The sequence below is a fragment of the Homo sapiens genome, chromosome 4, assembly GCF_000001405.40.
Source record: "Homo sapiens chromosome 4, GRCh38.p14 Primary Assembly".
NCBI classification, from domain to species: domain Eukaryota; kingdom Metazoa; phylum Chordata; class Mammalia; order Primates; family Hominidae; genus Homo; species Homo sapiens.
Window position 1 is genome coordinate 140,542,045 of NC_000004.12, and position 12,571 is coordinate 140,554,615.

Below are 12,571 nucleotides of genomic sequence, written 5' to 3' on the forward strand. Positions count from 1 at the left end.
TACATCTCTCTTATACTGCTAATACTTCTGTTTTATAGCTAGTATTTTAGTTATATGATTGATGAAGGAGGTTTCTCATTGCAAAAAGATTGTTGACTCCCTTCTGATTGCACTGAAAATGGCACTAAACAACACAGACTTAAATTGTAGTAGAAGGAATGAACCTAAGTGTAAGGAAGAGTGTCCTAACAGGTACATATTGACTCTTTCATAGAAATAGAACCAGCAAAGAAACAAAAAGAACTTTGGTTGTTTTTTTTTTTTAAGGTAGTCTCTTTTTATATTATCTATTTATTAAAATACTTTACAGTCTTGTCAATGACCTATATTCTGTACTACATAGGCCTGATAGCTTGGGAAATTTTGATTCAGAAGCATTTGTGAATCACTGAAGTGATTTGAGACAGATATCAGGATACTCATGGCAATACTAGGACTATGATTTTGACAGTAGCTTTTTAAATTGGTTCTGGATATCTTACATTTGAATGGCGTACATTTGTTTGATTATTTTTCTTAAACTTTTTAGGTATTTCAGTGAAAATTACACTAGTGAAGCTCATCAGATTCTTTCCCGTTCAAATCATCCAAAATTAGGGTAAGCTGGGTATATTAAAGAAGCCGTAATCTCTTGCATTTATAATGATTAGATGATTTAATGAATTTGAAGGTATATCAAGGTATTTCTTAAAATAAAGTATTTTAATAAGAACTTTTTAAAGGATATTACATGATACATTATTTTTAAGGAAAAATGTGATTGTAAACCAATTTTGTATGTATTTCAGTATATTTTTATCACAAGATATAGTTTATCTATACAATGGAGATAAGGGCCCTTATAAAATGCTTTTGAGAAATAGATTTGAAGATAGGAAGAGGAAATAGTTTGGAAAAGTAATAGGAAAATAGGAAATAGCTTTGAAAATTGTAAAGTGAAATTCAAACTGAGGTGGTTTTATTAGCTTTACCGTTATTTTTAAAAATATTCTGATGGTATCTAATCTTTGAAAAAGCATAGTAACAATGTTAGATCATAAAAATAAGTACCCTGATAATGGAGAAGAAAATATCAGATTATCCAGATTATCCAGTGTATTTTAGAAATCAATGAGATTTGGTGTCTATAGTCCCCCTGACCCCTTTTTTATTTAAGAATTTTAGTTTTAGATATCATGTGAACAGAGCTTTATTTTTATTTCTTAGATTATATCCAGAAAAATATACAGGCTTTAAAAAGCAAAAATGTTAAATTCTTTCTAGTATATTTTTCTTACCATGTAGAGATTATCATAAAATCAATACTGTGTTAAACCTGAAGTCACTTTCTACTAATTCCTAACATAATTTTAATTTATTTTATGAGTTATTTGGCTAGCTGGTATAACTGGTAATGTTTCTGACATAGGTATTCTTATGCAATAGTTGGAATCAATCTTACAGAGATGGCTTATAGCTTACTGAAGAGTGAAGCTTTGAAGTTTCATCTCTATAACCTTGTTCCTGGTATACCAACAATGGAACACTTTCATCAGTTTTACTGTGAGTATTAAAATGAGTTAAAACTAGATCTTTCTAAGATAATTCTTAAACCACTAGGAATGTATAATATATATTTTAATCTGTTGTCTCTGTGAAGTATATAACTTATGTTTATCATTTTATTACTTAGGGTCTTTGAAAAACAAGAAAACAGTGGAAGATGGGTCCCCAAGAGTATTCCATACTTCAGTTTTTATATTTGCTGATTATAAAAGGCAATATTTCACATGTAGACACATCTAAGATTCATGTAATTTTTCTCTAGGCATTCATTTTCCAGCTAACTACAAAATGTATTTTCCCTCTTGGATGCTGGTTAATGAATGCTGTTAAGGACAGACCATTTGCAGATTATTTTTTTACTTTTGGAAGGAAATTTAATTTAGAGGAACTTTTCGCCTCCCCCTGCCTTGAATTTCAAGGCCAAATTTTCTTGTGGTAGGTTAGAGGTACTGAGTAACTGTTCCTAAAGCTGTCTTTACTTTCTCTGTTCCATTCACTTTTAGTGATAATATTTGAATACTGAAGGTTTAATTGAATGAGTCCATCTTCTGAAGCTATTGTTCAGAAGCAAAGAACTCAAATCTAGTTTTTCTTCACACAGTACTTTTCTTGATCTTTTTATGTCTTTAGAATGTCATTTGAATGTTGGTAGCATATAAGAAACTACTTAGATAATAGGTGGCCAAATCATAATTTCTTCATCTCCATTGTTGAAAATATCCATGTCTCCTTTTCGCAGAAACTTTCCTGCCTTTTCTTACACCCTAATTCCAGTTTTGTCTGCATCTTAACTTTCTCTTGCATGTGTCTGTTTCTTTCTATACCCATTGTAACTGTACAATATCAGGCCTTTGTTACTAGGTTACTATAATGGCCTTTAGCAGTTTTTTTGTGGTAACACTCTTCTATTTCTTCTCCACATTGAAAGTATAGTTATTTAAAATGAAAATCTGATCGTTTTACTCCACTCCCAAAAATTATTCAAAGGATTCCCATTATAAGGCCCTGCATAATCTGAACCTTGGTAACCTCTCCAGGCTCATCTTTTGCCATATACCAGCCCCCCTCTCACCCCCACAGACTCTATAGTGGAGGCATCCCAGTCTTCTTTTTAGTTGCTCAAATATATTATGCTCTCTCTTGACTCTGTGCCTTTGCAAGTGACATTCACTTGGCCTGAACACTGTTCCAGCTCCCTCTGTTCTTTCCAGGTGATGCCTTCTCGCCTTCCAAATCTCAGTTTAGACGTGCTCTTCTCTGGGAAGTTTATTCATTTACTGTGTGTTAGATGTTGTTCTAGGCCCTGGGGATGTAGCAGAGAAGAAGACAAAGTCACTGCATTTGGTGAGGAGCTGTCATCTTCAGAATCAAAACTTCCCCCTAGTGCAGTGTCCACCTCCAGATACTGCTTCATTTCTCTGCTCTCTTTGTTCATGAAACTTTTTCAATAATTGCTTTTTCATTTCTTCATCTCCAGTTTTTATCTAATTCCAATTTAGTTTCTCTCTCCATGACTCTGCTCACACTGATTTTTCTCAGACACCAACTTTTTTTTGCCGCCTAATACAATCGCCATGTTTTTTCTTCATGTTATTTGATCCTTTTAGTGGCACTGGGCATAAATGACCACACGTTTCTTTTCGAAACATTATCATGACTTTTCTGATGCCACATTCTCCTGGCTTTTCTTTTGCCCCACAGGAATTCCTGTAGACATCCACTGCCTTACTAGATATAGGGAGCACCTCAGGGCCCAGCCCTGTGCCCACTCCTCTCTTTAGCCCTCATACTTTTCCTAAGTGGTACCATCTGGTCCCTTGCTTGAAATGCCAAATGTGCATTAAATGCCAAAATGTATATCTTCAGCCCAACCTCTGCTTTAATCCCAGCAACTGTATGTCCAGATCCTTTTTCTCCCTTAATGGATAAGGATAAAGAATCATATGAGGATGCTTAAACAAAGTAGGAGCCAATGCAACATGTCTTTAAATGGAGGGAACAGATTTCAGGTTCCTAAGGACAGCATTGATGATTCTACCCAAGTGTACTGAAGATTTCTAGCAGGCGTGAGATGCTTTCCTTTACCATTCCAAAGTGTTGTTGCTGGGACTTTGCTAACTTGCCTCTAATTTTTTTTTTAAATGAATATATCCCTTGTTCATTAGCTACCTATTGAACATAAATAACATAAATGAGATATCATGTCACACCAGTTAGAATGGCGATCATTAAAAAGTCAGGAAACAACAAGTGCTGGAGAGGATGTGGAGAAATAGGAACACTTTTACACTGTTGATGGGACTGTAAACTAGTTCAACCATTGTGGAAGACAGTGTGGTGATTCCTCAGGGATCTAGAACTAGAAATACCACTTGACCCAGCCATCCCATTACTGGGTATATACCCAAAGGAATATAAATCATGCTTCTATAAAGACACATGCACACATATGTTTATTGCGGCACTACTCACAATAGCAAAGACTTGGAACCAACCCAAATGTCCAACAATGATAGACTGGATTAAGAAAATGTGGCACATATACACCATGGAATACTATGCAGCCATAAAAAATGATGAGTTCATGTCCTTTGTAGGGACATGGATGAAGCTGGAAACCATCATTCTCAGCAAACTATCGCAAGGACAGAAAACCAAACATTGCATGTTATCACTCATAGGTGGGACTTGAACAATGAGAACACTTGGACACAGAAAGGGGAATATCACACACCGGGGCCTGTTGTGGGGTTGGGGGAGTGGGGAGGGTTAGCATTAGGAGATATACCTAATGTAAATGACGAGTTAATGGGTGCAGCACACCAACATGGCACATGTATACATATATAACAAACCTACACGTTGTGCACATGTACCCTAGAACTTAAAGTATAATAAAAATATATATAAATAAATGTAAAGAGACTAATGTAAAAAATAAATAAATTTTAAGAAGAGAATTAGCTACAAATAAGAAAACTAAAGTTCCTTAGAACTTAAAAAATAAATCTTCATAAAATTAAAAAAAAAAAAAGAATTTGAAAACTCCCCAAACAATTAAGCAGTTTCCCATATCTCAATATATACAGGAGGGTGGTAGGTTAGAAAGCAGTGCAGAATGACCTTTGTGCAGTATTTTTCCCCTAAAGACCAGGGAACTTGAGGATCTGTGGGAACTGTTGCTCTCCAGCACCCTGACACCATCTCGGCTGGCTCCTCTATAGGAAGGACATTAAAGTGTAATATCTGAGGTAGAAAAGTCATTGTAGAACCCTTTCAGTTGCCTCCTGTCAGCTCAATCTATAAGAGCTGTAGATCATCCTGGAAACAGTGAAGCTTATGATTTTCAATTATTTTGAGACATTAAAATGCACATATGCATATACCTATGTACCTTTTAAGCAGAAGTTTCCCAAAAACTTCATTCTTATACCCATTACCATTGGAAGTTTCACATCTTAAATAAGGTTCTGCTTTTCTTCTTAAGAGGAACCTGTTCTAACTAGAATAATAACTTGAAACCTTGTCTTTGAATGTGCATACTTTTTTGGTAGAGGAGTAGGATAAATTAGTTTGCACAAATTAGTTCCAAGGTCATAGTTTCTCTCCAGAAGGAAGAACAGTTCAGAGATGAGTTTCCACATTTTTTGTTTCCCTATGATCTGCCTTCATCTCCCTCTTTTCCTTTGATCGCCTTTGTTTTAATGCGTCCTGTGTAGGAAGGGCTGGAAACGTTTGTAGTTTAGCTTTTTAGCTCCATTGTCATCTTGTACGTCCAAACTGTGAGCAGCTATCCGCCATGATTCTGGGAAGTTACCACTAGTCCAGCAGGAGGGCTCAGGATTTTGGGACCTCTGTCTTTTGTATATTCCGGTCTAGGATGTCTCCATTCTAGTTTTGTAGGGCCAAAATTTTAGCTGGACTTCTGGTTTGGTGGTTCCAAAAAAAAATAGTAACACCTCAAGTTTGTATAATAAAGTTATGTCTCAATAACAACTTTATTGAGGTATAATTTATATAACATAGAATTTACCCATCTTAAATATACACTTAAATGGATTTTAATGAGCTAAATTGGGTAGCCATCATCATAATCCACTTTTAGAACATTTTCATCACCCCAGTGAGATACAGGTTTACAGTTAATCCCCCTTCCTATGATTTTCTAATCCTTAACCTCTGCAGTAAATTCATGCAGGGAATTTCAGGTTTAGACATTTCATATGGTAATTTCTACAGAGTCTTAAGTATTCCAAACATCTGGACTCAAAAGGACAAAATATGTGCATCATGGAAAACAGCTCTTTTCCATCACTTTTTGCAAAACTTTGGGATTCTTATGCCAAGGATGGCCCTGCCAGTTTCCTAGAATTTCAGTATTTTTTCCTGTGGTTTCCTGATGTCACATTAAATCACTTTAGCTATTATAGTCTCCGTTCTTCAAGTTAGTCTTTCTCTGACACTGATTTATATTATAGATCAATAGCCTCACTCTGAAGCAAGAAGTTCCTAGTGCTTTAACTTGAGCAGTTTGTTCCAGGCCCATGTAGTCATTTGAATGGGCCACATTACTGACAGTAATGAAAAAGCAATTTAAAGGACATAAGAATGGTAAATATCTAAAACATAATAACCAGATATACTGAAACAAATGGTATGGCCATAAAATTTGGATAGCTATCTGCCTTATCATACTAGGCAGAACATTAATCTCTAAATGTATTAATTAGACATCCCTAACAGTGTATGGGGGATAGAGATAGCAGATGGTATTTCTCCAGAGGCTTCATTTCTTGATTTTACCCATATATCATGGTTGACAAAAATCTGTTTTATCATATATTGAGAATAATCCAAAAATCTTTCTTAAACTGGCCTTCTTATGAAATGATATTTCAGTGTGGGAATATGATGATTTTAACCATTAATGTTTGCTGTATGACCAATATTATTAAAATGGGATTTCCATTTTACATAGTAAGCAATCATGATAGTCTAGCCACCCTTTTGTGTAAAGTCATTGACTTTTGCAACAGAGACCACTTACAAACTGTGTGATTTGGGGCACATCATTTAACTTCTCTGCACCTCTCTTTCATCTTTGGTAGAGTGGGAATAACAACATAGTACTTGCATCCTAGGGCTGCTCTGACAGTATATGAGCATTTAGTGAGCACTGTAGAAATATTTTAAAAAATAATTCAATAAATACATTTGATTACATACAAAGTAGGACTGGGGTGGTTTTATTTTTTGCTTTACTTTTTAACAGCTTTGTTAAGGTATATGATAAACTGCACATATTATATGACATATGATAAACTGCACATATTTAAATATGTATGATTTGATAAGTTTTAACATATGTATACACCTGTGAAACCATCTCCATGATCCAAATGGTGAATATAGTCACCACCTCTGAAAGTTTTTATGTACTCCTTGGTAATCCATGCCTCTTGCTCCTCCCCCCACCATCCTAGGAACCACAATTTTTTTGTCACTATAGATGAGTTTGCATTTATTTTCTAGAATTGTATTTAAGTGGAATCATGCAGTTTTTACTCATTTTGGTCTGGTTTCTTTCTGCATAATTTGTTGTGTGTATTAATAGCTTTTTTATTTGTTATTTTTTAAAAATTGACATATTAGCTCATTTATTTTTATTGCTGAACAATATTCCATTATATGCTACACATTGTTTATGTACTTGTTGATAGATATTTTGATGTTGGGTGGTTTTAAATTCACATTTAAGTTTACATATATGTGTGTGTGTGTGTGTGTGTATAAACAAGTTCGGTTTCATGAAATACATTTAACATTTTGGGGGTTAATTTGGCTACCATAATGAGGATATTGAAAGCCAAAAATATTAAGCCGATTTAGAGTGGATGTATTTTTTTAAAAAAGAGAAGATGCTGATAGTTCATTGAAAAAAAAGTAGAAATAACTCTTAGATTTAGAAATCGAGTAGGAAATAACTTTCCTACACTTTAACCTTATCCAACATTTTTTCGTTACTTGCATTTTTGTGCTTTGGAAGTTTCTCGGGAAACTTTTCTCAAGGTATCTTTTGAAAGTACTACATCTTTTTTTTTTTTTTTTTTTTTTTTTTTTTTGAGATAGGTTCTCAACCAAGCTGGAATGCAGTGGTACAATCACGGCTCACTGAAGCCCTGACCTCCTGGGCTCAAGTGATACCTTTACCTCAGCCTCCCAAGTAGCTGGGACAATAGGCGCATGCCACCATGCCTGGCTAATTTTTGTGTTTGTTGCAGAGATGGGGTTTCACCATGTTGCCCAGGCTGGTCTCTTAAGTCCTGGCCTCAAGCGATCTGCCCACCTAAGTCTCTGAAAGTGCTGAGAGTTCAGGTATGAGTCACTGCTCCCAGGTGAAAGTACTATATCTTTTAAACTTGAGGGACGTTGTTGATTTTTGAGACAAATAGTAAATATACACTAAATCGTTTATTAAGTCTTATTAAGTCCCTCAGGCTTCTAATAGTTTTGAGATTACTTTTGATTATTGTATTCTAATATGGAATTTAAAGGATGGTTATATACTTTGTAAAGATGAGACGGTTTGAATGTGATTTCAACATTGAGGATTAAATGTTTTGTTTTTCTTTAACTGCAGGTTATCTTGTCTATGAATTTGACAAGTTTTGGTTTGAAGAAGAACCAGAAAGCATTATGTATTTCAATTTGTATAGAGAGAAGTTTCATGAAAAGATTAAAGGACTTTTACTGGATTGTAATGTAGCACTTACTTTAAAAGTATAAATCATCCACTGTATCTTCTATTTCTACCACATTTTGCACATTCAACAGAATTTATATGTTGTAATAGGAATTATCTGATCAATTACACTCTTATATATAATTTCCTACAAAAATATTTCAGAAATTCTATTTAAGAAAGCTAGTGGACAATCAGTGTATGTTTACAATTGTTTATACACTGTTCTCCAAAGGTACCTTATCCTTCCAAAGATCCCCTCTGTAGAGTCATGCGAACTACAGTTTGGAACTTGGGACTTAGCCCGTTGGTGTAAAAGTATAAATCAGGTATTTGTATTAAATTGATTAAAATGTGTAAAATCAATTTTCGTTTTTATGTGTTATAGGGTCAAGTTGGTATCTTTTTCAAAGCTCTTTAAGATTTTTTTGGTTTTTAGTTTGGAAATGGCTGTTTTTAATTTTGTCTGATTTTTATTTCTAGGTTAATTAACAGCAAGTGTTTCTTTATGGTTTTCTTTGTTTGCATCTTAATTACATGTCATAACGTTGCTTCATTAGTAGCAAATAGAGCAGAGATACAGCAGAGAGAATAAAGAATTAGGGCCTCCTTTTGGGTTTCTGTGATTATTGAGCATAACTGATGAGAGAATGACAGTATTGGTGACTAGCTTTTTTGTTTTTAAATAACACACTTTAAAATGCCACAGTGTTATTTGAAAGCTTAAAGGCATTTTCTCATCTTCAGTATTTGCTTTTTATCAGTTGTAGAAAAGAACCTTAGTGTTTTCTTCTCTACCTATGTATGCTTATGAAACCGCTCTACCTACATATGAAACTTCTCTACCTATGTATGTTTACGAAAAGAGATGTATTTGCCAAGAAAATCTTGATTATATAAAAGACAAAAAGATTATAAAAGACAGTTTCTGTTTAAGTAAAACTGTCTTTGAAACTTAAGAAAGCTTAAGTTTTAAAAAAATCTCAGTTAAACATCATTGGTTTATTTGACTTACTGTTAACTCTTGCTTCTCTTTGACTCCATGGTGTTTTTAGATAACCATGTATGAACTTTATGTTAATGGTTTGTGGGATACTAAAATAGCTTGAAGATGACTTGATGACTGTGCATTTTATATAGTTTTATTCTCCTAAAATCTCAGGAGGGCAGCAAGTGCTGTCAACGATTATATAGTGATGAGATTTTTATGGGAATGATTTCTTCTTGGTGCGTTTTACACATTTGTACTGATAGCAAAACTAAAGTTTAAAGCAGCAAAGTTTAAGTTCTCCTTAAATCCTACAGAAACCAACCTTTTAAGGACATAATTTCATCTAAAACATGACGATATTTAGCACACCTTTTAATGTGGGTATATATCAAGTGTTTAAGGACTGGCTAGTATGTGATAGAGCAAGACCTGAGACTTTATAAGTATTTGCTCGTGTCTGTTGACAGACCTCTTTCTTTCAAACTTGTTAGAAGAGTGGTAAGACATATCCAATTGGAAAATAAGATGCAGTGTTGTATAGCACATACATTTAAAGTGCTTGCGTTAAAATTAGTTTCTCAATAAGATAAAATTATTTTAAAAATTTGGTTCACTTTATTACAATAGTGGCAATTTAGCTTTTCAGTATTACAGGAATTTAAAAATTGGTTTCTTGTAGGGGACATCTCAACTTTGGGAATATCTTCACTTAATTTTTAAAAAATATTTTCATGCTTTATTGTCCAGCTATACAATATGTCGCAAAATCCTGACAAGTTCATTGTATTAAGGTATTAACTATTACATGGAAAGCAATTCTGTTCATCTTTTGATGTTTGTGTTGAAAATGCTTATCTTTGTGTTTTGATCTTCCAACAGCTGAGAGCTTGAACTGATTTAAACATTTGTCAATATACTTAAGAATGCTTTAAGTAAAGAAGGGGAAAATTTTAAGTAAGTTTTTTCCCTTCTAGGAAGAAAAACTATGATGATGTTAAGAAAATGTCATTATAGAGCTTGCTCAATAATATGTTCTTTAAATCCACCTCCATTTGTACATTATAGGTATCATTCTGTTTTTGCTTAAAATAATCTGCAACCATTTCAGATAGTTTTACAGCAAATTGATCTAAAAGCCACTAATAAATTCTAGGGTTTGAGTCTAGAAGCCAAGCAAACTGTCACCAATGTCAGTTGTAAATTAGAATGCAACATGAGGCTTCAGACTCATGACAATGATATACATGAAAACAAAAATATAATTGTGTCTACCTTCCTACTTTCCCTTTTGACATATGTAGTTGGAATTTTACATAGTCTTAAAATCCATATTTAGAATCTTACCTGTTTCTATAATAATTAGTAAAATGCCAAAGTAGTGATAGAATATTGTGGCATTGAAGTAGCCGAAAAATTGTTAGTTTTAGCATCAAAAAAGTAAATAGATGTTGAAATGAATTTTTGTATGTGCCAGGTTGAAGAGAGTGTGCCAGTGACAGGAAGTAGTCTAAAAAATTAACAGTTATGGTTTTAATAGGATCTGAAAGACAATCTTTAAAGAAATGGGAGAAATTGGGGGTATCAGTGAACCTATACCAACCTCTCTTTGTACATAAATATGGTGATGTAGCTAGATATAAAAATCAGTGTCTTACTGGCACCATTTACAGTTTAGAAAACAATCTTTTTCTTAAAAATGCCCATCTGATTTCTATTTTTAGGAGCTACTTGGATTTGTATGTATTTTTTCTACGTGAAAATATATGTACTCTTCACTTTTGTTCCAGTACTATAATTGCTCATGCACTCTTTCTCCCCTTTGAGAACATTCAGTGAAATACAACTTCATCAAAGATTTGCTCAAAGGAGAAGAATCGCATGAGTGTGAAAAGTAGATGCTCGTAGCCAGAACAGAAAAGGTTACACATGATCATGGCACAGAAGATAGGAGGTTTGACTTGGTGGGCCATAATGTTTATTATCCTTTTTGAAATAACAGGGACCAGCAGCAGTTTTCTCAGGATAAATGCTCTACCCCACTTCTCTATGAACAGGTGTGGGGAGGCTTACTTTCCATTTTCATATTTATACACCTCTCTACAAAAGCAATTTTTAATGAAGGTTAGTGGAATTGTTAAAAATCTGAGAGGAATGATGACTGGAGGTGTTTGGGGTTTTTTTCTGTATTCATTTTTTAATGAGAAAAGTTTTAAATGTAGTACAGGTTAGACCCAACTACTACCTTACTATTATAGGACGATTCTATGTTTCTGTTAAAGTATTCAAGTAGCTTTCTCTGGGGGAAAAAGTACCACTTGGACACTTAAAGGAATTGGGATTTTTGTCTACTTTGGATAAGGCAGTTGACTTCTTAAGTAAAAGCAATAGTGTAAAATGTCATTTTGTTTGGAATGTTAAGTGAGCAAATAAAAAACATGTTGAAATTGTTGTAAGCCTTCCTGTTGATACTTCTTTTTTTCCATATTCCCTCATTTAGTCATTCATGCTCATTAAACATTTTTCTTATTTTTCTTATCGTGTTGCTGTAGGTAAATCAGAATATACAGAAAAAAGTTTTGATTTTCTTGACTTGTTAACTGCTGATTACCTATTTACAGTGTTGAATGAGAAACAAGTGGTTATGAGACTGAAAATTTCCTTTATTTAAAAAGATGCCACCACCTCCACCTGCCCCTTCTTACAAAGAGTAGGAATAATTCATGCTAAACTGCGCTGTTTTATTCTTAACTTTACGTAAAAGTTCTATTATCCATCATAAAGTGGATCTATTTACATGTTAATACATCATTTTTTTACAGCTGCATAGCATTTCTGTGTGCGTGTGTGTGTGTGTATGTGTGTATATCTTACTTTGAAATAAAAATAGGTGGATCTGGTTGGATAAGGCTACGTTAATATGTTAGTACTAACTTTATTAAAGTTAGTGCTAATTATAGGTTTAAATATACGTATATATTCGAAAATAGGCTGGAAATTAAAGACAAAACATCCATCTTAAGGAGTTTGATGAAGAACACAATAAACGTAAAGAAAATAGACAAAGAAATATTAAAGAATTAAAGATAAGTGCTTAAAATGCATAGAATAGAAAACAAGCATATGAGATCAACAGAAATAAGCTTTTGCTTGGAAAGACTAGTATTGATAAACTTGATACTAGTTAAGAATAAAAGAGAAAGCAATAATGTCAATGAAATATGGGACATCACTACAAATTCTACAGATGGTGAAAATTAATTTTTTCAAAAATTTGAAAATTTTAATGAAATACA

The 12,571-nt window shown here is 33.6% G+C and overlaps 1 protein-coding gene across 7 annotated transcripts in view; it reads left to right on the top strand.

Annotated features, from left to right (window-relative positions):
* The window catches only part of ELMOD2 (ELMO domain containing 2), a 29,603-nt gene extending 17,877 nt beyond the window's left edge, over nt 1-11,726 (top strand). For 3 of the 7 annotated variants that reach the window (XM_005262885.4, NM_153702.4, XM_011531819.3), the window contains exons 7-9: nt 530-598; nt 1,409-1,542; nt 8,186-11,726. In XM_005262885.4, coding sequence (XP_005262942.1) covers nt 530-598; nt 1,409-1,542; nt 8,186-8,331 — 349 coding nt within the window. In that variant the 3' untranslated portion in view covers nt 8,332-11,726. Of the gene's footprint in view, nt 1-529; nt 599-1,408; nt 1,544-1,672; nt 6,775-8,185 lie in introns of those variants that run through there. The other 4 variants (XM_011531818.3, XM_047449980.1, XR_001741193.2 and 1 more) reach the window with 3 other exon arrangements.